The 22,989-nt window shown below is 39.8% G+C and overlaps 1 long non-coding RNA gene across 1 annotated transcript; it reads left to right on the top strand.

Annotated features, from left to right (window-relative positions):
- Window positions 1-504: 504 nt before the first annotated feature.
- LOC105369847 (uncharacterized) lies at window positions 505-7,815 on the top strand. Its single transcript, XR_945110.4, has 4 exons — window positions 505-785; window positions 3,878-3,998; window positions 6,765-6,873; window positions 7,590-7,815. It is a non-coding gene; the product is annotated as an uncharacterized LOC105369847 (long non-coding RNA).
- The last annotated feature ends 15,174 nt before the right edge of the window (window positions 7,816-22,989 follow it).

Raw genomic sequence — 22,989 nt, 5'->3', positions numbered from 1 at the left:
ATAGATACAACTATTATCATTTCTAGTACTTCTGCAAGTATTGTAAGTGGCTTCTGGCTAGTGACTGCTTACCGTATGTTGGGTATTGGGTAAAATACTGCGCATAAACACATTTTATGGTCTCTACTTCTATTATAAAACTATTTTGTTTTAAAAAAAATCCATGATTTTTAGCACAATAGAGTATTGCTTTATATCAATTAAATTAACAAATCTCAAGCCAGGGAAAGGAAGTTTGAATAGACCGACATTTCTGTTTGCATTTGCTTACCTGAAATTCAGTCATTATATTTCACAAGCAATCTATTCTTGAGCCAAGATACAATATCATATTTCAGCAGGTGTTAATCCTGACTGTGTCTAAATTCTAAATGAATATTAAGAATTGGGACAGTTAGCTCTATCAGCTAGATGTAAAACCTGCTTTTAAGTAAACACTCAGGTAATTGAAACCCCTGTATAGGTATCAACTGTTTTAATTATTTTACCATATGATACAATCATTCTTGACTCTGCTTCTATATAGATGCAACTTTCTTATGCTGCTTTACATTTATCCAAAATTTCTGTGCTCTTAATAAGCAGAAAGGAAGCATTCGCTGTTCTTGACCGTATCTGTAAGAAGTCAAGAATCATTAGCTTTCAATACATCATGTGCCAATAACTGGAGGAATTAGTAGCTTTGATGATTCTCATGAAGAGTGCCTCAAATCTAAAAGAGAAGAGGAAGAGTGACTGGCTGCATAAAATTCTCTGCATGAGGTGTCACCAACCAGTAGGGAGGGGTAGGTCTGTGCAGGACAAATACCACCTCTCTATCCCTGCTTTCCTGCAGTGTCTGGTGAAGACTATCTGCCCTGTGTTTCCTATGGGATAGAAATATTGTTTTTGTTTTAAAATGGTTCAACTTGGTCAACAGGTTGAGGTGATCTAGTTTTTTGGGGACACACACAGAAAACTTCATATATTTTTCTCTGACATCTGGTCAATGGATGAGGGCTACAAACAGTGGGGTAGGAAAAATGAAGGAGACTTTAACTGTAACTGACCCCTTCCTGGTGTCAGACACTATGGTAATAAGTGCTTTGTGTATGTTATCTCTCTCTTTTTTTTTTTTTTTTTTTTTTTTTTTTTTTTTTTTTTTTTGAGACAGTGCCTCACTCTGTTACCCAGGCTGGAGTGCAATGGCACAATTTCGGCTCACTGCAATCTCCACCTCCTGGATTCAAGTGATTCTTGTGCCTCAGCCTCCCAAGCAGCTGGGATTATAGGCATATGCCACAATGCCTGGCTACTTTTTTTGTATTTTTAGTAGAGACGGGGTTTTGCCATGTTGACCAGGGTGGACTCGGACTCCTAACCTCAAGAGATCCGCCCACCTCAGCCTCCCAAAGTGCTTGAATCTCTTTTTTGTTTTGTTTTGTTTTAAGAGACAGGGTGTTGCTGGGTTGCCCAGGCTTGACTTGAACTCCTGGGCTCAAGTGATCTTCCCACCTCAGCCTCCCAGGAAGCTGACTATAGGTGCACGCCACCACACCCAGCTCATGTGTTACCTCTTGTAATGCCTACAATAAACCTATAAATTAATTATTGTTATCTGAACTTTACAGATGAGGAAATAAAGAGGTTAAGGAACTTGCCCAAAATAGCCTGTGGCAAAATCAGGATTTAAACCATGGTCTTTGGACTCCAAGCCAATATTCTCTCCGCTATACCAGATAATAACTGGTGCATTCAGAATAGTTGGTGTACTGATAGTAAGAACATTTACTTTGTTGTCAGGTTTTATGAATTTTAGTTCCAGCTTGCCCATTGTGTGAGTGCGGGCGATTTAATGCCTCCAAGACTCAGTTTCTCATCTATAAAAAAGAACAAGAATAATAACACATACCTTAATGATTTTTTGGGAGGATTAAACAAGGAAGTGAGTATAGAGCAATGGCATAGTAAAGGCTTAAAATACATCAGCTGTTGCTATTCTACTTTTATTTACCTGGTACATCACTAGATTTAAGGTCAAGGATACCATAATGCCTCTGTTAATTACACAGTGATTTTTCACAACATCTTGTTAGAGACTGCATTACCAGAGGTGAAGATAAGAGAAGAGGTAACAGTGTTTAATTGAGAATGACAGAGTAAGGGCTAGCAAAACACTCAGTACTGACTGTAGGGAATTTACGTGCTGTAGAAGCACAAAATATATGCCTGAGTGTCTTGAGCAACAGGAGGGTTGGACTGACCTGTGGTTCCGGGAGATGTAGGAAGGAGCCCTGCCGTAGACTGACCTGTGGTTCCGGGAGATGTAGGAAGGAGCCCTGCCGTACTCCTGCCAGTGAAGGGGAGGAGAGCGGAGAATTCCTGTTCTGAAGGAATTTGGTGACAAGGGCTAGCATCATTTGTTATCTCCTATTCCAAGCAGGGGTCCCTTGCAGCTATTCCTGAGCCAGTCCTTAGAAAACCGTGTGTGTGGGGTGTGTGCATGTGTGTATGTGTGTGGGTGATATGTATGTGTGTGATGTCTGTGTATGCATGCACGTGTGTGTGTGCATATGTGTGTCTTGGTGATGTGTGTGTTCTGTATATGTGTATGTGATGTGTATGGTGTCTGTGTGTAGCATGCATTTATGGCATGTGTGTGATGTCGGTCTGATGTCTATGTAAATGTAGTGTCTGTGTGTATGCATGTACTTGTATGTGTGTTCACATGTGTGTGCATGTGTGTTTGTGTTTGTGGTGCCTGTATGTATGCACTTGTGCGTTTGTGATGTGTATGTGTGTATGTGTGGTGTCTGTATATGCATGCACTTGTATGTCGATGGTGTGCTGTGTATGGTATCTGTGTGTATGTATGCACTTGTGTGTTTGTGTGTGTTGTGTGTGATATGTATGTGTGTGTATGTGTAATGCCTGTATGTGCATGTACTTGTGTGTGTGTGCGTGTGTGTGTGAGAGAGTATCTGAGGGGCAGGAAACCACTGTTTTGTCATTCTAGTTCATCATCACTCTTTCATTTATTAATTTCCTTTAATAAACATTTATTGCGTATTTCCTGCTTGCCAGGAACTTTGATAAGGTCTATGATAAAACTTGAGTAAGATACAATCTCTGCTCTGAATGAAATTACCAGCAAATCAATCAATCAATCAATCAATGTGATTTGAGGGGTCTAGTAGAGGCTTTCCAGATAATTAGCTCTCTACCTGTCAGGGGACTACATAAATCTCAGTTAATAGGGAATTATGGATTTTGCTCCCAAATCAGACGTAGATAAAAGCCTTAAAATACAAATACTGTGGAAGTAATGAATTAAAATGCATTCATGTTACTGTATAATCAAACAGTGTGGCTGAAAATTTCTTATTTAAATCCATCCTGATTTGGATGGGACAAGGGGTGGGGACCAGGTGGAGAGTGACAGCTGCCGGGGAGGAGGCACAGGTGTAGAAACGAGGCCAGAGCAGAAGACAAGCCTGCCAGCTGCGCCCAGTACTCAACAAAGGACAGCTGTTGGGGGCCTGCCTGCAATGTCTTTTTGTGTTGTTGCTGCTGATTTTCTTTAAAATAGAAGAAAAGGCAACTTATTATAAAGTAGCTTCTTAAAGATTTGTTAATGAACCCATCGCTCTATTAATTCAATGCCTTAGGAGGCCCCCTGTCTCAGTTTGAGCCACTCTCATAGGATAACGCTGAAAAAAAGCCTTGAATCCCCCCAGGAAATGTAAGAGGTTCTCACAGATTGGTGAAATTCAAGCCTGTTATTTATTCTGCTGGAAAGCAGCAATAAATCTAATGAAAGATGGGGAGGTGGATTAACCCACTGAATAATTAGCTTTGCCAATAAAGGGTAAATAACATTTTCCCTCTGTCTGTTTAGTTCCCAAGAAGCCTCCAGGTTGAGCTCCTGACTTGCGGACCCTGAGGCAGTGTGGCAGGGTGAGAGGACACAGGCTCTGGAGTTCCCGGGACCCAAGCACAGTGGCTGCAACTTCCTTGCGGTATGTCCTTAAATGTACTCAAGACTTCTTAGTCTTGGTTTTCTCATCTTCAGAATAGGGATGGTAACACCTACTTCATAGAGTTAGTTGTTGGAAGACCCAAATGAGGTTTTATATATGGCTATGTGATCTTGGGCAAGTTATTTCAACACTTTATACCTCTGTTTATCCATCTGTGAAATGCGAACAATGGTAGTACCCACCTAATAGAGTTCAGAGAACTAACATTAGTTAATATTCATAAAGTGCATGCAACAGTTCCTGGCATCTAGTAAGAATTATGTAAGTTATTATTTAAAGCATTCAATAGGCACTCAATAAATGCTAGTGATTTTATTATTCCTTCTTTAATCCCAGGTATGCCATTTTGTTAAAGCACTGTTTCCGTCATGCAGATCCCTAGCTCCATCAGCTAGAATTGTTATTTTACATCGCAGTAACAAAAAGACCTACTAAAAGTAGCAGCACAGTGAAGTTTATTTCTTGTTCATGTAATAGTCCAGGATGTTTCCAGCCTGGAGGTGAGACTCTGCTTCACAAAGTCACTGAGGGCCTTAGGTAGACAGAGGTTCTGGCATCTGTAATGCGTTAACATTCAAGGTCCTGCTGGAAGTTCTGTCCATGTCAGCTGGAAGAGGAAAAGAGGGAGGGAGAACCTGTAGAAGAGGCTATTATGGGCTTAGTCCTGAAGCAGAACACATTATTTCTTTCTTTCTTTTTTTTTTTTTTTTTTTGAGACAGAGTCTTGCTCTTTTTGCCCAGGCTGGAGTGCAATGGCATGATCTTGGCTCACTGCAACCTCCGCCTCCTGGGTTCAAGCAATTCTCCTGCCTCAGTTTCCTGAGTAGCTGGGATTACCAGCACGCACCACCAACGCCAGCTAATTTTGTATTTTTAGTAGAGATGGGGGTCTCACCGTGTTGGCCAGGCTGGTCTCGAACTCCTGACCTCAGGTGATCTGCCCACCTTGGCCTCCCAAATTGCTGGGATTACAGGCGTGAGCCACCGTGCCTGGCTGGAATACATTATTTCTACCCATGTTTGTTGCCTGGTTCACAATCACATGACCACGCTTAGCTGCAAGGGAGTCTCAGCACATGATCCACCCATGCCCAGGTACACGACAAGACCATGAAGTTTGGAGAAAAGCCGGCAGCCTCTGCCTTATTAAGTCACACACCAGCAGTTAGTTCTCCTGCCTTCATGGACAACAGTCTATCACTATACCTGGCTCTACAATCGCTGCTGCCCTTGGACCTCATGGTACAGGCTGACACAAATCCTTTGCTCTTACTGGCCCAGTCTCCTTGCTGCCAAATAAAAATGCCATGTTCACACACTCATATTTTCCCCTACTGGGTTCTCCAGACATTTGCTTCAGATAGAGATTCAGCTAAAATTTGCAGGCCTACTATGTGCCAGTCTATAATCCCATGTCATCTTCACAACAATCTATGAGGTGCGCATCATAATACTCATCTTATGGATGAGGAATCTGAACTCAGTGAGGTTAAGGAATTTACTTACAGTCATAACTTGCTCGCTACTCTCCTCTTTCTTCCAATTCCACAGCATTTAGGATCTTTACCAAATCAGTTAGTACTCAGTCCTCCATGGTTTCATAAGAATATGTTCTACCTCCTCAACAACGATAGAGTTAAAGCTTCTAGGTCAAGCATAGAGCATTTATATAGAGAGTCATGCATCACTTAATGATGCAGATATGTTCTGAGAAATGCTCCATTAGGAGATTTCATCATATGAACATCACAGAATGTACTTACACAAACCTAGATGGCACGGCCTACTACACACTTAGGCCATATGGTACAGCCTATTGCTCTTAGGCTACAAACATGTACAGCATGTTACTGTACTGAATATTATAGGCAATTGAAACACAATGGTATGTACTGGTGTACTAAAGAAAAAACAAGGTATAATAAAAACATGGTATTATCATCTTTCTGCATTGACCAAAATGTCTGTTATTCGGTTCATGGCTGTAGTTTTTTGGGTCTCTTGAAGATTCTTACATGGTGTGGAGGACACCACTGATATATAAGTTTCACTGAACATGAGCTCAGCAAAATTCTTTTTTTTTTTTCTGAGACGGAGTCTTGCTCCGTCGCCCAGGCTGGAGTGCAGTGGCGCGATCTTGGCTCACTGCAACCTCTGCCTCCCAGGTTCAAGCGATTCTCCTGCCTCAACCTCCAGAGTAGCTGGGACTACAGGTGCCCACCATCATGCCCAGCTAATTTTTGTATTTTCAGTAGAGATGGGGTTTCACCATATTGGCCAGGCTGGTCTCGAACCCCTGACCTTGTGATCCACCTGCCTTGGCCTCCCAAAGTGCTGGGATTACAGGTGTGAGCCACCGTGCCCAGCTGAGCTCAGCAAAATTCTGATTGATGAATTTACCAATTGTTCTTCCCTACTCAGGTGTTAGTCTTCGTTCAGGCCAAACCAAAAATGCTTCAGACCCTAAGTCACCTACAACCTTCTTTCTTTTTCTTCCTTTTGATGCATGTTGAAAGAAATGCTATTTCTCAAGGAAATGACCCCCCACCCCCCAGACTGATTTCTGACCTCTCATTACATGGCACATTAGTTGGCTGTCAAAAAAGGAAACTTAAGCAGAAATGCCCAGCTGTGATTTCTCTTCTCCAACTTCCCGTGTTTGACGTGAGGTGTATAGGCTGGAAATGCCAGCTCCCTGGCTGCTGAAGGAGAGACTCTGCAGTCTCTCCTTTGTGATTCTTGCAGCTGCTGAAAGATACCATGTCTTCAGTGCCAGAGGATCAACAAAGAAAAACAACTTGGCCTCACATGATAATGACCCCAAGTGGTTGGTCAAGAAAAAGAAGTGGCAATGGTGAGTTTTATTGCTTTTGTTGTGTTTCATCTCTCTTTGTGGATTTTTATTGTGATTATTTAAAGATATTTATAATAAAATAAACAGTTACAAATGTTAGGGGGATTGTGTTGCACTGGGGTTCTCTCTCACAGCTGCAAGTGTTGCCTCCTACATGTTGTTAATTTAGAGGTAATCAGGTTTGCATTTGCAGCTGTGCAGCATATGTTTTTCTAAAACAGTCATGGCCATGGGCACCAGAATAATTAAGACTGGAAAAAATGCCAGGAAGCATTTTTTTCTTCCTCTGATAAACTGATAATGCCTTTCTTTTAATTCTTGTTTTGTATGGCTTTATCATTAAAGAGAGTAAAGTAAACCACCTGCTATGTGTCTGAGCTAGTCGCTTTTCATAAATGTTATTACATTTAAATATACTATCTTGGTTTTTTTTTTTTAATGGTTTAATTTTATTAGTGGAGAGAGCAGCTAAGGCCTTTTGGTAGGAGACAGTAATACCATGTCAGACACAGTAGAACATACAGTGTTATAGCTGGAATGTTACATCAGGGAAAAAGCTGATTAGATATTGCTGGTTGGAAGTTGCTATTTTTTTTCCAATTTCAATTGAATTCTAAATCATTCTTAGATTACTCTGATAGAAAATTCCTTATTGCCATAATCTGATTTCTGAGTCAAATGCAAAAACTGTCTTTACTTTTTGGATAATCTTGTAGAATGAACAGATTATACATTTCTTTGAAGAATTTGAACTGAGTTATGATGTATAGATGGGAGATAAACCCGGAACAAGGCTTGCATCAGAGACGTCCTGAACCGTGATGTTCTTTTGGTATCTAAGCATCCCTGTTTCTTTCTCCATGCAATGCAACTTTTTCATTCTCTTGCATTAAGTAAAAATACCAATATAAATAAAATTCGTTTGAAGATTTACCTAGCTAAGTTAACCCTTGTATGCATTTGTATTTATTCAGTAAATAATAAACAATTTTATTTTTATTATTTTTTATTTTCTTTCTTTTTTTTTTTTTTTTTGATGGAGTCTAGCTCTATTGCCTAGGCTGGAGTGCAGTGGCACAATCTCGGCTCACTGCAACCTTCGCCTCCTGCGTTCAAGCAATTCTCCTGCTTCAGCCTCCCAAGTAGCTGGGATTACAGGTGCATGCCACCACACCCAGCTAATTTTTGTATTTTTTAGTAGTGATGGGTTTCGCCATGTTGGCCAGGCTGGTCTTAAACTCCTGACCTCAAGTGATCTACCTGCCTCCCAAAGTCCTGGGATTACAGGCATGAGCCGCCATGCCTGGCTTATTTTCTATTTTTTATGTTAGCATTTCATAAACTTTGTGAATATTATGAGCATGCTGACATGCTAAAAGATGGTCTACTTCAGGGGTTGGCAGACAACAGCCCTGAGCCAAATCATGATGTCCCCTGCCCATTCATTTACTTGTCTATGGATTCTTCTACACTACAATGGCAGGGGCGAACAGTTGTAATAGACAGGGCTGGCTTCACAGGCGTGAGACCTGTATGGTCATAGAAAGCCCCAGCCTTTAGAATGATCTCCTGCTTGGTTTAACGCTCAGCTGCAACTATCTTGCAGATATTAATAATTTTTAAAAAGGGGACTCTGCATTTTTATTTTACACTGGGCCTTACAAATTATATAACTGGTCCTGGTGACAGAGACTGCAAAGCCTAAAATTCTTTAGACCTATAAAACCTAATATATTTACTGTCTGGCCCTTTACAGAAAAAGTTTGCTGACCTCTGACTTAGTTGATCTTCTATTTTCTTCTATATGTAATTATTTAAATTAGTTAATGAGTTAAGAATTACCTGGAGAGAATGATGAAAATGTAAATACTTGGTCCCCACACCCAGAGATTCTGATTCAACAGAGGTCTTGTGTGTGACTCAGGGATCTACATTTTTAAAAAGCCGAATAATGGTTTTTTATTCAGTTGCTCCTTGGTAGCACCTGGATGAAAGCTGGTGGGCCCTCCCTGCCTTGTGTTTGGAGTGTCCCAGTAGAGTCTTAGGACTTCCTTGCCACTACTCCCTCCCTTTTCCAATCCATTTTTTATACAGTACAGGCATACCTCGTTTTATTGTACTTTACCACACTTTGCAGATATCACATTTTTTGCAAACTGAAGGTTTGTGGAGATCCTGTGTCAAGCAAGTCTGTACCATTTTTCCAATAAGCAGGTGCTCACTTCGTGCTTCTATTTCAGTAATTTTCACAATATTTCAAATGTTAAAAATTAGTATTATATCTGTTATGGTGATCTGTGATCAGTGATCTTTGATGTTACCACTGTAATTGTTTTGAGGCACCAAGAACCACACCCGAAACTTTATTGTTAAATGTTGTGTGTGTTCTGACTGCTCCACCAACCCGCTGTTGCCCCATCTCTCTCTCCTCAGGCCTTACTATTCCCCGAGACACTAAAATATTGAAATTAGGCCACTTAATAACATACAATGTCCTCTAAGTGTTCAAGTGAAAGGAAAAGTCTCATGTCTCATTTTAAATCAAAAGCTGGAAATGATTACACTTAGTAAGAAAGATATGTCAAAAGCGGACATAGGTCAAAAGCTAGGCCTCTTCTACCAGTTAGCCAAGTTGTGAATGCAAAGGAAATGTTCTTGAAGAAAATTAAAAGTGCTATTCCAGAGAATGCACAAATGATAAGAAAGGGAAACAGCCTTCTAGTTGGTATGGAGAAAGAACAAACCAGCCACAATAGTCCCTTAAACCAAAGCCTAATCCAGAGCAAAGCCCTAACTCTCTTCCTTTCCATGAAGGCTGAGAGAGGTGAGGAAGATGCAGAAGAAAAGTGTGAAGCCAGCAGAGATTGGTTCATGAGGTTTAAGGAAAGAGGCCATCTTTATAACATCAAAGTACAAGATGAGACAGCAAGTACTGATTTAGAAGCTACAGCAAGTTATCCTGAAGTTCTAGCTAAGATAATTTGTGAAGACAGCTACACTAAACAACAGGTTTTTAATGTAGACAAAACAGCCTTATATTGGAAAAAGATGCCATCTAGGACTTCCATAGCTTGAAAGGAGAAGTCAATGCCTGGCTTCAAAGCTTCAAAGGACAGGCTGACTGTCTTGTTAGGGGCTAGTATAGCTGGTGAGTTTAAGTTGAAGCTAATGCTCATTGACCATTCCAAAAGTCCTAGGGTCCTTAAGAATTATTCTAAATCTACTCTGCCTGTGCTCTCTACATGGAACAACAAAGCCTAGATGACAGCATATCTGTTGACAGCATGGTTTACTGAGCATTTTAAGCCCACTGTTGAGGCCTACTGCTAAAATATATATATATTCCTTTCAAAATATTACTGTTCTTTGACAAAATGCATCTGATCACCCAGGAGCTCTGATGGAGTTGTACCAAGAGATTAATGTTTTTGTGCCTGCTAACACTACATGCATTCCTCAGCCCGTGGATCAAGGAGGAATTTCAAATTTCAAGTTTTACTATTTAAAAAATACATTTCATAAGGCTATAGTTGCCATAGGTACTGATTCCTCTGATGGATCTGGGCAAAGCAAAATAAAAACCTTCTGGAAAGGATTCACCATTCTAGATGCTATTAAGAACATTTGTGACTCGTGGGAGGAGCTCAGAATATGAACATTGTCAGGAGTTTCGAAGAAGTTGATTCCAACCCTCATGGATGACTTTGAGGGCCTCAACACTTCAGTGGAGGGAGTAACTGAAATGTGGTGAAAATAGTTAGAGAACTAGAATTAGAATTAGCCTGAAGATGTGACTGAATTGCTACAATCTCATGCTGAAACTTGAATGGATGAGGAGTTGCTTCTTATGGATGAGCAATGAAAGTGACTTCTTAAAATGGAATCTACTCTTGGTGAAGATGCTGTGAACATTGTTGAAATTAGGACACAGGATTTAGGCTGGGCATGGTGGCTCATGCCTGTAATTCCAGCATTTTGGGAGGCCAGTGCAGGCAGATCACTTGAGGTTAACAGGTCAAGAGTTGGAGAACAGCCAGGCCAACATGGTGAAACCCCATCTCTACTAAAAATACAAAAATTAGCCAGGTATGGTGGCACATGCCTGTAATCCCAGCTATTTGAGAGGCTGAGGCAGGATAATCACTTGAACCTGGCAGGCGGAGGTTGCAGTGAGCCGAGATCTTGCCACTGCACTCCAGCCTGGGCAACGGAGATTCTGTCTCAAAAAAAAAAAAAAAAAGAACAAAGGATTTAGATGATAAAGCAGTGGCAGGGTTTGAGAGGATCGACTGCAATTATGAAAGAAGTTCTACTGTGGATAAAATGCTATCAAAACATATTGCATGCTACAGAGAAATCCTTATGGCAAATTTCATTGTTGTCTAATTTTAAGAAATTGCCACAGCTGCCCCAACTTTCTGTAATCACCATCCTGATTAGTCAGCAGCCATCAACATCGAGGCAAGACCCTCTACCAGCAAAAAGATTATGACTCACTGAAGGCTCAGATAATTGTTAACATTTTTTAGCAATAAAGCATTTTAAAATTCAGGTATGCACATTATTGTTTCAAATATTATGTTATTGTGCACTTAAAGACTACAGTATAGTGTAAACATAACTTTTACATGCACTAGGAAATCAAAAACTTTGTGTGACTTGCTTTATTATGATAATTACTTCTTTGTGGTGGTCTGCAATATCTCAAAGATATGCCTGTCCTGTGTTCAGGTTAATTGCCTCCAAATACTGCTTTTCATGTCTTAATACCTTGCTCAAGCTCTTTTAATAATTACCCAATCTCTGAATACAGCTCTAACTCATCAGTTTTGCATTCCAACACCTCCCACTTTTACAAAGTCCCTCTGACTTTTACAAAGTCTCATTCCAAACTTTTTTTATTTTTTATTTTTTTAGAAGGAATCTTTCTCTGTCACCCAGGCTGGAGTACAGTGATGCACGATCTTGGCTTACTGCAACCTCTGCCTCCTGGGTTCAAGCGATTCTTTTGTCTCAGGCTCCCAAGTAGCTGGGATTACAGGCATGCACCACCACGTCTGGCTAATTTTTTTATTTTTAGTAGAGACGAGGTTTCACCATGTTGGCCATGCTGGCCTCGAACTCCTGACCTCCAGTGATCTGCCCGCCTTGGCCTCCCAAAATTCTGGAATTACAGGCGTGAGCCACTGTGTCCAGCCCCCAAATGTTTTTTCATCCATTTCCTGTACAGAGGCAGCCGGTGACAGTCAAATTTTGTTTCCATATCTAGGTGTTGCTACTCATTAGCTGTGGATCCTTTTCTGAGCCTCAGAATCTTCATCTTGAAAATGGACACAATAACTTACTATGATGCACCGAGAAGAACATAGCATCGTTTCTCTAATATGCTTGCCCAAATTGTATAAGCTCATTCTAATCATGAGAAAACATCACACAAACCTAAACGGAAGGACATTCTACAAAATAACTGACCAGCACTCTTCAAAAGTGTCAAGGTCAGGAAAAACAGGAAAGAATGAGCAACAGGCACAGGAGGAAATCAAGGCAACAACAAATGCAATATAGGATTCTGGATGGATCTTGGACCAGAAAAAGGACATTAGCAGAAAAACTGGTGAAATTTTAATAGAGTCTGCTTTTGAGTTAATAATGTTGGCACCAATGTTAATTTACTCTTTGATCATTATACCATGGTTATGTAAGATGTTAACATTAAAGGAAGCAGGGTGAGGGATATAAGAACATGCTCTATACTATTTTTGTGACTTTTATGTAAGTCTAAAATTAGTTCAAAATAAAAAGTTTAAATTGAGATAATAATATGTACATTACAGGAGAAATTATAAAATACTAACTAGAACCCTGAGGGCATTTATTATGTCCTTGCCACAGGAACTTTATATGTATTTAGTCATTATGATAACCCTATGTGGTAGGAAATACTTTTCTCAGATATGGTTATCTGACACTTAGTAAGAGTCCCCGGAGTTCCAGCAAACTTTTTTCTATTTACTGCTGCCCAAACATGTCCACTTTTGGAGTTTCTGTAAAGTCTCTTGGGGCCCTTTTTGCTACTCTGGACATCTGGAACTCCTATGTCTGCAGTACTCATTTAGCACTAATTTTGTGCAACTTGGTATTGTTAATTTTCTGTGTCTTATTATCCCAGCTAGAAGGCAACTTCTTGAAAGCAGAGGACTGGATTTCACAGATGTTTGGATATCTCCCAGTATCTGGCACCAAGAGTCTTGGATATCACTCAAGCTTGCACTAACAATCTTGGATATCCCATAGTGCCTTTCAGTAATAATCTTGGATATCCCACCATGCCTTTCACCAGGAATTTCCCATGTGCTTCATCATCCTTGGATCTCCAAGAATAACTCATCTTGGCTGGGCCTGGGACCAGTTCTCTGGCCTTTCTAGAGTTGTAGACATTGGATTCTGGGGTACGAGGCAATATTAGCAGTTGGCTTCTTGGATGATTTCCTGGAAAAGCGCACATTGCAATCTGACTTCTAGAGTGAAATTCAGCAATCATACACTTTAAAAAAAAATTGGGGTAAAAAACACATAACATAAAATTTACCATCTTAACCATTTTTAAGTGTACAGTTCATTAGTGTTAAGTATATTTCCATTGTGAAACAGATAGCAATCATACAGTTTTTAATTTCAAAAAATATGTTAGCTATCCAGAATATATGACAGACTCTCACCACTTAATAAAAATAGAACAAGCAATAATAACATCCAAACATGAGCTAAAGATTTAAATGGACATTTCATCAATAAAGATACACAGATGACCAATAAACACGTGAAAAGATATTCAACATCATTAGTCATTAAAAAAAAGAAAGTTAGGCCGGGCATGGTGGCTCACTCCTGTAATCCCAGCACTTTGGGAGGTGGAGGTGGGCAGATCATGAGGTCAGGAGTTCGAGACCAGCCTGGCCAGCATGGTGAAACGCTGTCTCCACTAAAAATACAAAAAATTAGCCGGGCACAGTGGCATGTGCCTGTAATCCCAGCTACTTGGGAGGCGGAGGCAGGAGAATTGCTTAAACCTGGGAGGTGGAAGTTGCAGTGAGCTGAGATTGCACCACTGCACTCCAACCTGGGTGACAGAGAGAGACTATGTCTCAAAAAAAAAAAAAAAAAAAAAAAAGGAAAGTTAAAACCACGATGTGATACCTATTAGAATGGCTTAAAAAAACTGAGAACATGGAGTGCTGGCAAGGATGTGGAGTTACTGATATTCTCATACATTGGTGGTGGAATGCAAAAAAGGAAGGGCACTTTGAAAAAATAGTTGGCAGTTTCTTATATGTTAAATGTACACTTACCATATAACCCATAATTCCCACTTCTAGATATTTACACAAGAGAAATAATGACATATACCCACACTGAAACCTGTATGTGAATGTTTACATCAGCTTTATTCATAATCCCTGAAAATTGGAAGACAGCCCAATGTCTATCCACTGGTGAATGAAATAGATGAACAACTTGTAGTATATCCAGACTACTTCTCAATAGAAAGGAGTGGACTACTGATACTACAACCACATGGATACATCTCAGATACATTGTGCTAACTGACAGAAACCAAACTCAAAAGCTACATGATTTGATTACTTTGATATAACATTTGGGGAACGCAAAACTACAGGGACAGATGGGGTGGGGAGAGGGTGAACTATGTAGGGCACTTTTATGGTGAGATATCCTATATCTTGATTGTTGTGGTTACACAACTCTTTATGATGGTTCAAATTAATAAACTGTATACTTAAATAAAGTTAATTTTTATTGTGTAAATTATAGTTCAATTGACCTTGCTTTAAAGAACTACATTAGCTATTTAGTACTTCAAATATAATTAGCCACTTAATTTATGGTGTTGCTATCAGAAATAGCTGGATTAAGGAGGAAAAACCTAATATGTAGGTAGATTTTACTTTGCTTTGGACAATGTGGCTAATGCCTGTTTTTCTCTTGACTCAGTTGGTTTAACATTTGTCCTACATAATAGAGACCTAGTTTAGATAGTAAATTATATAGTTATGTTAGGATTAGGACAGTGTGGGAAACATAGCAATACCTTGTCTCTACTAAAAATTTAAAAATTAGCCTGGATCAGTGGTGCTCTCCTGTGGTCCCAGCTACTCAGGAGGCTGATATGGGAGGATTGCTTGAGCCCAGGAGGTGAAGGCTGCAGTGAGCTATTATCACACCACTGCCCTCCAGCCTGGGTGATAGAGTGAGACCCTGTATCTAAACAAAATTTTTAAAAAAAGAGGGGTTGGGGGTAGGTGATGTTCTCATAGTACTTTGGACAAATTCTCGAGACACCAGGCCACTAACCAGATTTTTTAAGGGCATTAGACAAGTGCTAGTCTTTTTTGGGAGGAAAAGGGAAAGTTGGGGGACATCCTCAGTGACCCTCTGGCTTAGTTTAATGGATAAAACATGTGACACAGACTTTGGAGTCCAGTACATTTAGGATTTAATACCAGGACTACTCCTAAGTAAGTGGCCATGATATTTAATCTAAGTAACCCTGCCAATAAAATAGGTGTTGCAAGAAAGTGACTTAGCAAATTGCTTGGTACAAATTCAGTGTTCGGTAGTTGCTATGATCACTGTTGTCACTATCATTGTCATTATTTGCTGTAAGATGAACTCTTTTTCCATTTATGAATAGCTGCTTCACCACATTGAGGGCAAAAAGATTGTGCATGAAATGTATACACAGTTTCCATTCGCTTTTGTGATCATGAAGTCATATGTGTAATGGCATTTGCCGCTGCTTTTCTTGCTCATAAAGTGGACTTGCTGAAGGCTTATTCCTCACCTAAAACCGGGCCTCCTCTGTAGAATTACTGGTTGCACTGTTAAGTGTCTCCCATCTCCCTGGCTGTCCATGTGCTGCTTGATTTCTTGTTGTCTGGTGATTTCAAGACAGGGTGAAATGTATTTAAATAATTTCAGGAATGTAGCACACATAAGGTGTAAGAGCAAGAAGCATGCTTCACCTGTGTCCTTGCCTTGTCACTCTGAGTGTGGTTAGATCACTCACTTAGATACTGGAGTTAGAGAGTCAGGATACTTGAATAAAGTGTGAAACTCAAGGATGATTTAGTTGAACCTATGGACAAAAAGATTGTTGCTTAATGTTTTCTTAATTTTTAATTTTTTCCTGCCATGTTAGTGAATGATTTTGCTTAATGTTTTATTGAGCACTCACAATGTGAGCCACTGTGAACCTCAAGGAATCAGCCAGACAAGTATGTTCTTTGGACCAACAAGTGAGTGCTGTGTTACGATGCAGATAGGAAATAAAAAGAAACATAACATCCAGAACCTGCTTTGAAAGTGTTTACACCGTAGCTGGGAAGACAAATGACAATACACAAATCAAGGGAATAATAATATGGAATAGAATTAAGTGCTACATGTTGTGGTATAGCCCTAAAATAATACAAGATATGAGTGAAAGGAGAGAGAAATACAAATGGGAAGTGCTCAAGGCAGATATTTGAAAACTCCCTTTATATGATTTTAGTGTCTTGCTGCATGTGGTTTAAGAAGTTAATTTCTGATTACCAGCTGGGATTTTGGTAACATCCTACTTCTGTGCCAAAGCTGAATAAGAAGCAGTTAATGTGGTTAGTATTTAAAACTAAATTCAATTAATTGTTAGCAGATGCAAGATTGATTGGAGTGGGAGATAGTGGGAGGAGGGAAATAGAATACCTTTCAGATTTAAAAAAAGCCTATTCATGAACATTTAATAGCAAGCTGCTATGGAAACTTCTGAAAATTTTTTTGTTTGTTTTAATAAATTATGGGAATTCTACTTTGCTGTGAGGGAGATGGGAAGCAAAAGTTGTTCAGAGGAATCTTCAAAGGGCAAATGAGCCTTTTCTTTGATAATTTTGTCTCAGATAAAGTTGCTTCAAAGAAGACTGCATGCAAGAAGAGTGTTTGATGCTAACGTGCTCTGAGCCCCTTTAATGCCAAAGTTCTGGGAAAGGCTCAGGATGAGTGGTATTTTTACCATCTCTTGGTACTATTCTAGTGAAACTAAACAGTAATTTTTTTTTTTTTTTTTTTTTTAACACAGAGTTCTGCTCTTGTTGCCCAGGCTGGAGTGTAGTGACATGGTCTTGGCTCAGTGCAACCTCTGCCTCCTGGGTTCAAGTTATTCTCCTGCCTCACCCTCCTGAGTAGCTGGGATTACAGGTGCCTGCTACCATGCCCAGCTAATTTTTCTATTTTTAGTAGAGGCAGGGTTTCACCATATTGGCCAGGCTGCTCTCGAGCTCCTGATCTCAGGTGATCCACCCGCCTCAGCCTCCCAAAGTGCTGAGGTTACAGGTGTGAGCCACTGCACCTGCCCTAAACAGTGATTAAAAACAGCAAAGTGTCAATGAGTGAGGATCTACATTTATATTTATCTTTTGCTATAATTTAAAATTATATGCACATGATGGAAGGAATGTAAGAGTGCAGCACTGTGAAAAACCATATGATGGTTCATCAAAACATTAAACATAGAATTACCATATGAGGCTGGGTGCGGTGGGTCATGCCTGTAATGCCAGCACTTTGGGAGGCTGAGGCGGGTGGATCACCTGAGGTCAGGAGTTCGAAACCAGCCTGGCCAACATGGTAAAAACCCCTTCTCTACTAAAACTACAAAAAATTAGCTGGGTGTGGTGGAGTGTGCCTGTAATCCCAGTGAGTCAGGAGGCTGAGGCAGGAGAATCGTTCGAACCCGGGAGGCGGAGGTTGTAGTGAGCCAAGATCATGCCACTGTGCTCCAGCCTGGGAGACAGAGTGAGACTGTCTCAAAAAAAAAAAAAAAATTACCATATGAACCAGCAATTCCATTTCTGGGTATATACACAAAAGAATTGAAAGCAAGGACTTGAATCGATATTTGTACGCCAATGTTCACAGCAGCATTATTTGCAATAGCTCAAAGGTGGAAACAACCCAGATGTCCATCAACAGATGAATGGATGACAATGTGATATATACATACAATAGAATATTATGTAGCCTTAAGAAGAAATGAAGTTCTGACATATGCTACAACAGGGATGAACCTTGAAGACATTATGCCAAGTGAAATAAGCCAGACACAAAAGGACAAATATTGTATGATTCCACTTATGTGAGGTTCCTACAGTAGTCAAATTCCTAGAGACAGAAATCGAATCGTGGTGGCAGGGGAGAGTGGGGAGTTGCTTTTCAATGTATAGAATTTCAGTCTGGGAAGATGACAAAGTTCTAGAGATGGATGGTGGTGATGGTTGCACAACAAGCTGATTGTGTTTAATGCCACTGAACGGGACACTTAGACATGGTTAAAATGGTAAGTTTGATATTACATATATTTTACCACAATAAAAATCCCCAGACATTTCACATAAAAGATACCTATGCTTATGCAATTAATTTTTTTCCCTTGAATAAAGCGCTCAATATAAAGCATGACTGAGACGAAAAAGTGTTTCTTCCAATTCAATCAAGCATTCATTTGCGAATCCTAGCTAATTTGATTACAGTGCCAAGTAAAGCAGTGGTTGCTATCATTCAGGATAAAGAAGCCTGGGGAATTTAGCCTTGCAAGCCTAAATCTAGAAGAGATAAGGTAGAAAGTGCAGCATCTTCACCTATATTTAATATATTTATGGATTTACTTGTGGGTTGAGGGTATTTTAGGTGAGTGGAAAACAATGGGCAAAGGCATGCATGCAGGAATAAGTATATGGTGGGAAGGGTAGGGAGTTGAGGGAGGGAGGTGGGGTAAGGGACAGTGAAAAAGCCATCCCATTCAAAGGGGAGGTTACATGACAGCAAGTAGTGAGATAAAATCGTGGATTGTGTGAGGTGAAACTACAGGGGGAGTTCCTAGTACACGATGTACTAGGAATCCATGGTAGGTTCTTATTCTGGTTTTATGTGCACTGCATATGTCAAAATACAAATCCTTTCTAATTTTTTTTTTTTTTTTTTTTTTTGAGAAGGAGTTTTGCTCTGTCACCCAGGCTGAAGTGAAGTGACATAATCTTGGCTTACTGCAACCTCTGTCCCCAAGGTTCAAGCAATTCTCCTGCCTCAGACTCCCAAGTAGCTGGGATTACAGGTGTGTGCCACCACACCTGGCTAATTTTTGTATTTTTAGTAGAGATGGGGGTTTTGCCATGTTGACCAGGCTGGTCTCGAACTCTTGACCTCAGGTGATCCACCCGCCTCAACCTCCCAAAGTGCTGGGATTACAGAAGTGAGCCACCGCATCTGGCCCTTCTCTAATGTTGAGTCTGCATTTTTCAGAGAAGAGGAAAAGATGTGTCCTTTAGCCTTTAGAATTTCTAATCTTTTTTAACAGGGTTCTGCTACATCGTGCAAAGATACTTTCAAATGCAAAGCTCTGTGCATGGAAAAATGAAGCAACTGCAAAGAAGGCAAATTATATTTGCAGAGCACACAATGACTACACTCCTGTGATATTAGAAAATGACAAAACTGATAACTGAGTTCTTGAAATACATTCTTGTGACAAACTACGCCATTTCTAGTTATCTGATTTGCTTTTCTTGAAAGCTAAAGTGAAGGTCACAATGTATTGACTTGTGGCATAAATATAAACGTTTCCTTCAATTTTTCTTCTGACATCATCCACTAGCTGGAGAACATGGAGACTTTTTGTTTGATTTGGAGAAGGCAGTGTATTTACCAATGGCTGAAGAGTGATTAAGAAATAATGTAACTTCAAAGAGTGTGTGGAGAGAGGCCTAGATAAAGATTGCATGGATCTCTTCTAGATACTATGGAAAGTTGACTTAGGTTAAATTTGAACAAGTCCTGTTGGAAAGGTCATTGAAAGTTAAGAATAGGCTCAAGTGTCTCTGGTGTTATAAAAACATTGTCTACAATGGTAGTCCCTTGCATTGCTTAAGAGGCTTGAGTCTATTGTCAGGATCTTGTATAATATTGTGAATGTGCCGCCTGGGATCATGAAAAGGTCTTAAGCTTCTTTCAAATGCCTGTGAAGTAGGAGCAAACATTTTTCATATACTGCAGTTATTAAAGATAGAGTGATCCATTCAAGTGTGATCAACAAATATTATTAACAAAGGGAAAGAAGATGTCAAAGACACTGGTTCTACATGGATAGGTTATATGTTGGATAAAATTATCGTTAATTTTCAGGGATTCCTGAAACCAGGCTCAATCAGATTCTTTCTTTATGGCTGATGAAAAGCTACGTGATTTAGTCTTGGGAGGGTGTATGTGTCCAGGAATTTATCCATTTCTTCTAGATTTTCTAGTTTATTTGTGTAGAGGTGTTTATAGTATTCTCTGGTGGTAGTTTGTATTTCTGTGGGATCTGTGGTGATATCCCCTTTATCATTTTTTATTGTGTCTATTTGATTCTTCTTTCTTTTCTTCTTTATTAGTCTGGCTAGCGGTCTATTTTGTTAATCTTTTCAAAAAACCAGCTCCTGGATTCATTGTTTTTTGTTTGTTGGTTTGTTTGCTTGTTTGTTTGTTTGTTTTTTGAGATAGAGTTTTGCTCTTATTGCCCAGGCTAGAGTGCAATGGCGCGATCTTGGCTCACTGCATCCTCTGCCTCCTGGGTTCAAGCGATTCTCCTGCCTCAGACTCCCGAGTAGCTGGGATTACAGGTATGTGCCACTATGCCCAGCTAATTTTGTGTTTTTAGTAGAAACGGGGTTTCTTCATGTTGGTCAGGCTGATCTTGAACTCCCAACCTTAGGTGATCTGCCTGCCTCAGCCTCCCAAAGTGCTGGGATTACAGGCGTGAGCCACCGCGCCTGGAGATTTATTGATTTTTTGAAGGGTTTTCGTGTCTCTCTCTCCTTCAGTTCTGCTCTGATCTTAGTTATTTTTTGTCTTCTGCTAGCTTTTGATTTACTCTTGCTTCTCTAGTTCTTTTAATTGTGATGTTAGGGTGTCGATTTTAGATCTTTCCCACTTTCTCCTATAGCCATTTAGTGTTAAAAGTTTCCCTCTAAACACTGCTTTAGCTGTGTCCCAGAGATTCTGGTACATTGTGTTTTTGTTCTCACTGGTTTCAAAGAGCTTATTTATTTCTGCCTTAATTTCATTATTTACCCAGTAGTCATTCAGGAACAGGTTGTTCAGTTTCCATGTAGTTGTGGGGTTTTGAGTGAATTTTTAATCCTGAGTTCTAATTTGATTGTGCTGTGGTCTGAGAGACTGTTTGTTATGATTTCCTTTCTTTTGCATTTGCTGAGGAATGTTTTACTTCCAATTATGTGGTCAATTTTAGAATAAGTGCGATGTGATGCTGAGAAGAATGTATATTCTGTTGATTTGGGGTGGAGAGTTCTGTAGATGTCTATTAAGTTTGCTTGGCCTCAGAGATAACACCACACATCTACAACCATCTGATCTTCGACAAACCTGACAAAAACAAGAAATGGGAAAAGGATTCCCTATTTAATAAATGGTGCTGGGAAAACTGGTTAGCCATATGCGGAAAACAGAAACTGGAGCCCTTCCTTACACTTTATACAAAAATTAACTCAAGATGGATTAAAGACTTAAACGTAAAACCTAAAACCATAAAAACCCTAGAGGAAAACCTAGGCAATACCATTCAGGACATAGGCATGGCCAAAGACTTCATGACTAAAACACCAAAAGCAATGGCAACAAAAGCTAACATTGCCAAGTGGGATCTAATTAAACTAAAGAGCTTCTGCACAGCAAAGGAAACTATCATCAGAATGAACAGGCAACCTACAGAATGGGAGAAAATTTTTGCAATGTATCCATCTGACAAAGGGCTAATATCTAGAATCTACAAGGAACTTAAACAAATTTACAAGAAAAAAACAACCCCATCAAAAAGTGGGCGAAGGACATGAACAGACACTTCTCAAAAGAAGAAATTTATGTGGGCAACAAACACATGAAAAAAGCTCATCATCACTGGTCATTAGAGAAATGCAAATCAAAACCACAATGAGATACCATCTCACGCCAGTTAGAATGGCGATCATTAAAAAGTCAGGAAACAACAGATGCTGGTGAGGATGTGGAGAAACAGGAACACTTTAACACTGTTTGTGGGAGTGTAAATTAGTTCAACCATTGTGGAAGAGACAGCATGGCGATTCCTCAAGGATCTAGAACCAGAAATACCATTTGGCCCAGCAATCCCATTACTGGGTATATACCCAAAGGATTATAAATCATTCTGCTATAAAGACACATGCATACATATGTTTATTGCAGCACTGTTCACAATAGCAAAGACTTGCAACCAACCCAAATGCCCATCAATGATAGACTGGATAAAGAAAATGTGACACATATACACCATGGAATAGTATGCAGCCATAAAAAAGGATGAGTTCATGTCCTTTGCCGGGACATGGCTGAAGCTGGAAACCATCATTCATAGCAAACTAATACAGGAACAGAAAACCAAACACAGCATGTTCTTACTCATAAGTGGGAGTTGAACAATGATACACAGGGAGGGGAACATCACACACTGGGGCCTGTCATGGGGTGGGAGGCTAGGGGAGGGATAGCTTTAGGAGAAATACCTAATGTAGATGATGAGTTGATGGGTGCAGCAAAACACCATGGCACGTGTATACCTAGGCAATAAACCTGCATGTTCTGCACATGTATCCCAGAACTTAAAATATATATATATATATATATATATGTAAAGCTACATGAATTTTGGTAGTGCAGAAAAGGGCCAAACTATAGTTTCCATTTCCAGCAAAGCCACAGAAAATGTCAAAGTGTAGGAAGCCCAGCTTTCTGTGTAGCCCAGCTAAAAGTGCTTTGCCAAAAAGTAAAGAACCAGAAGGGAAAACATTTTCTTTACTTCTCAGACTATTGTTGCTGTGTAGACCCCTACTATCCAATATGGTAGCTACCACCCATTTGTGGCTAATAAGCAATTGAAATGACACTAAATCTGCACTGAGATGCTCTATGAGTATAAAGTACATACCAGATTTCAAAAACTTAGTACAAAAAAGAAAAAGGAATGTAGAATAACTTATAAATGATTTTTAATAT

Source organism: Homo sapiens, chromosome 12 (genome assembly GCF_000001405.40).
Source record: "Homo sapiens chromosome 12, GRCh38.p14 Primary Assembly".
Taxonomy (NCBI): domain Eukaryota; kingdom Metazoa; phylum Chordata; class Mammalia; order Primates; family Hominidae; genus Homo; species Homo sapiens.
This window is presented reverse-complemented; position numbering and strand designations above follow the sequence as displayed.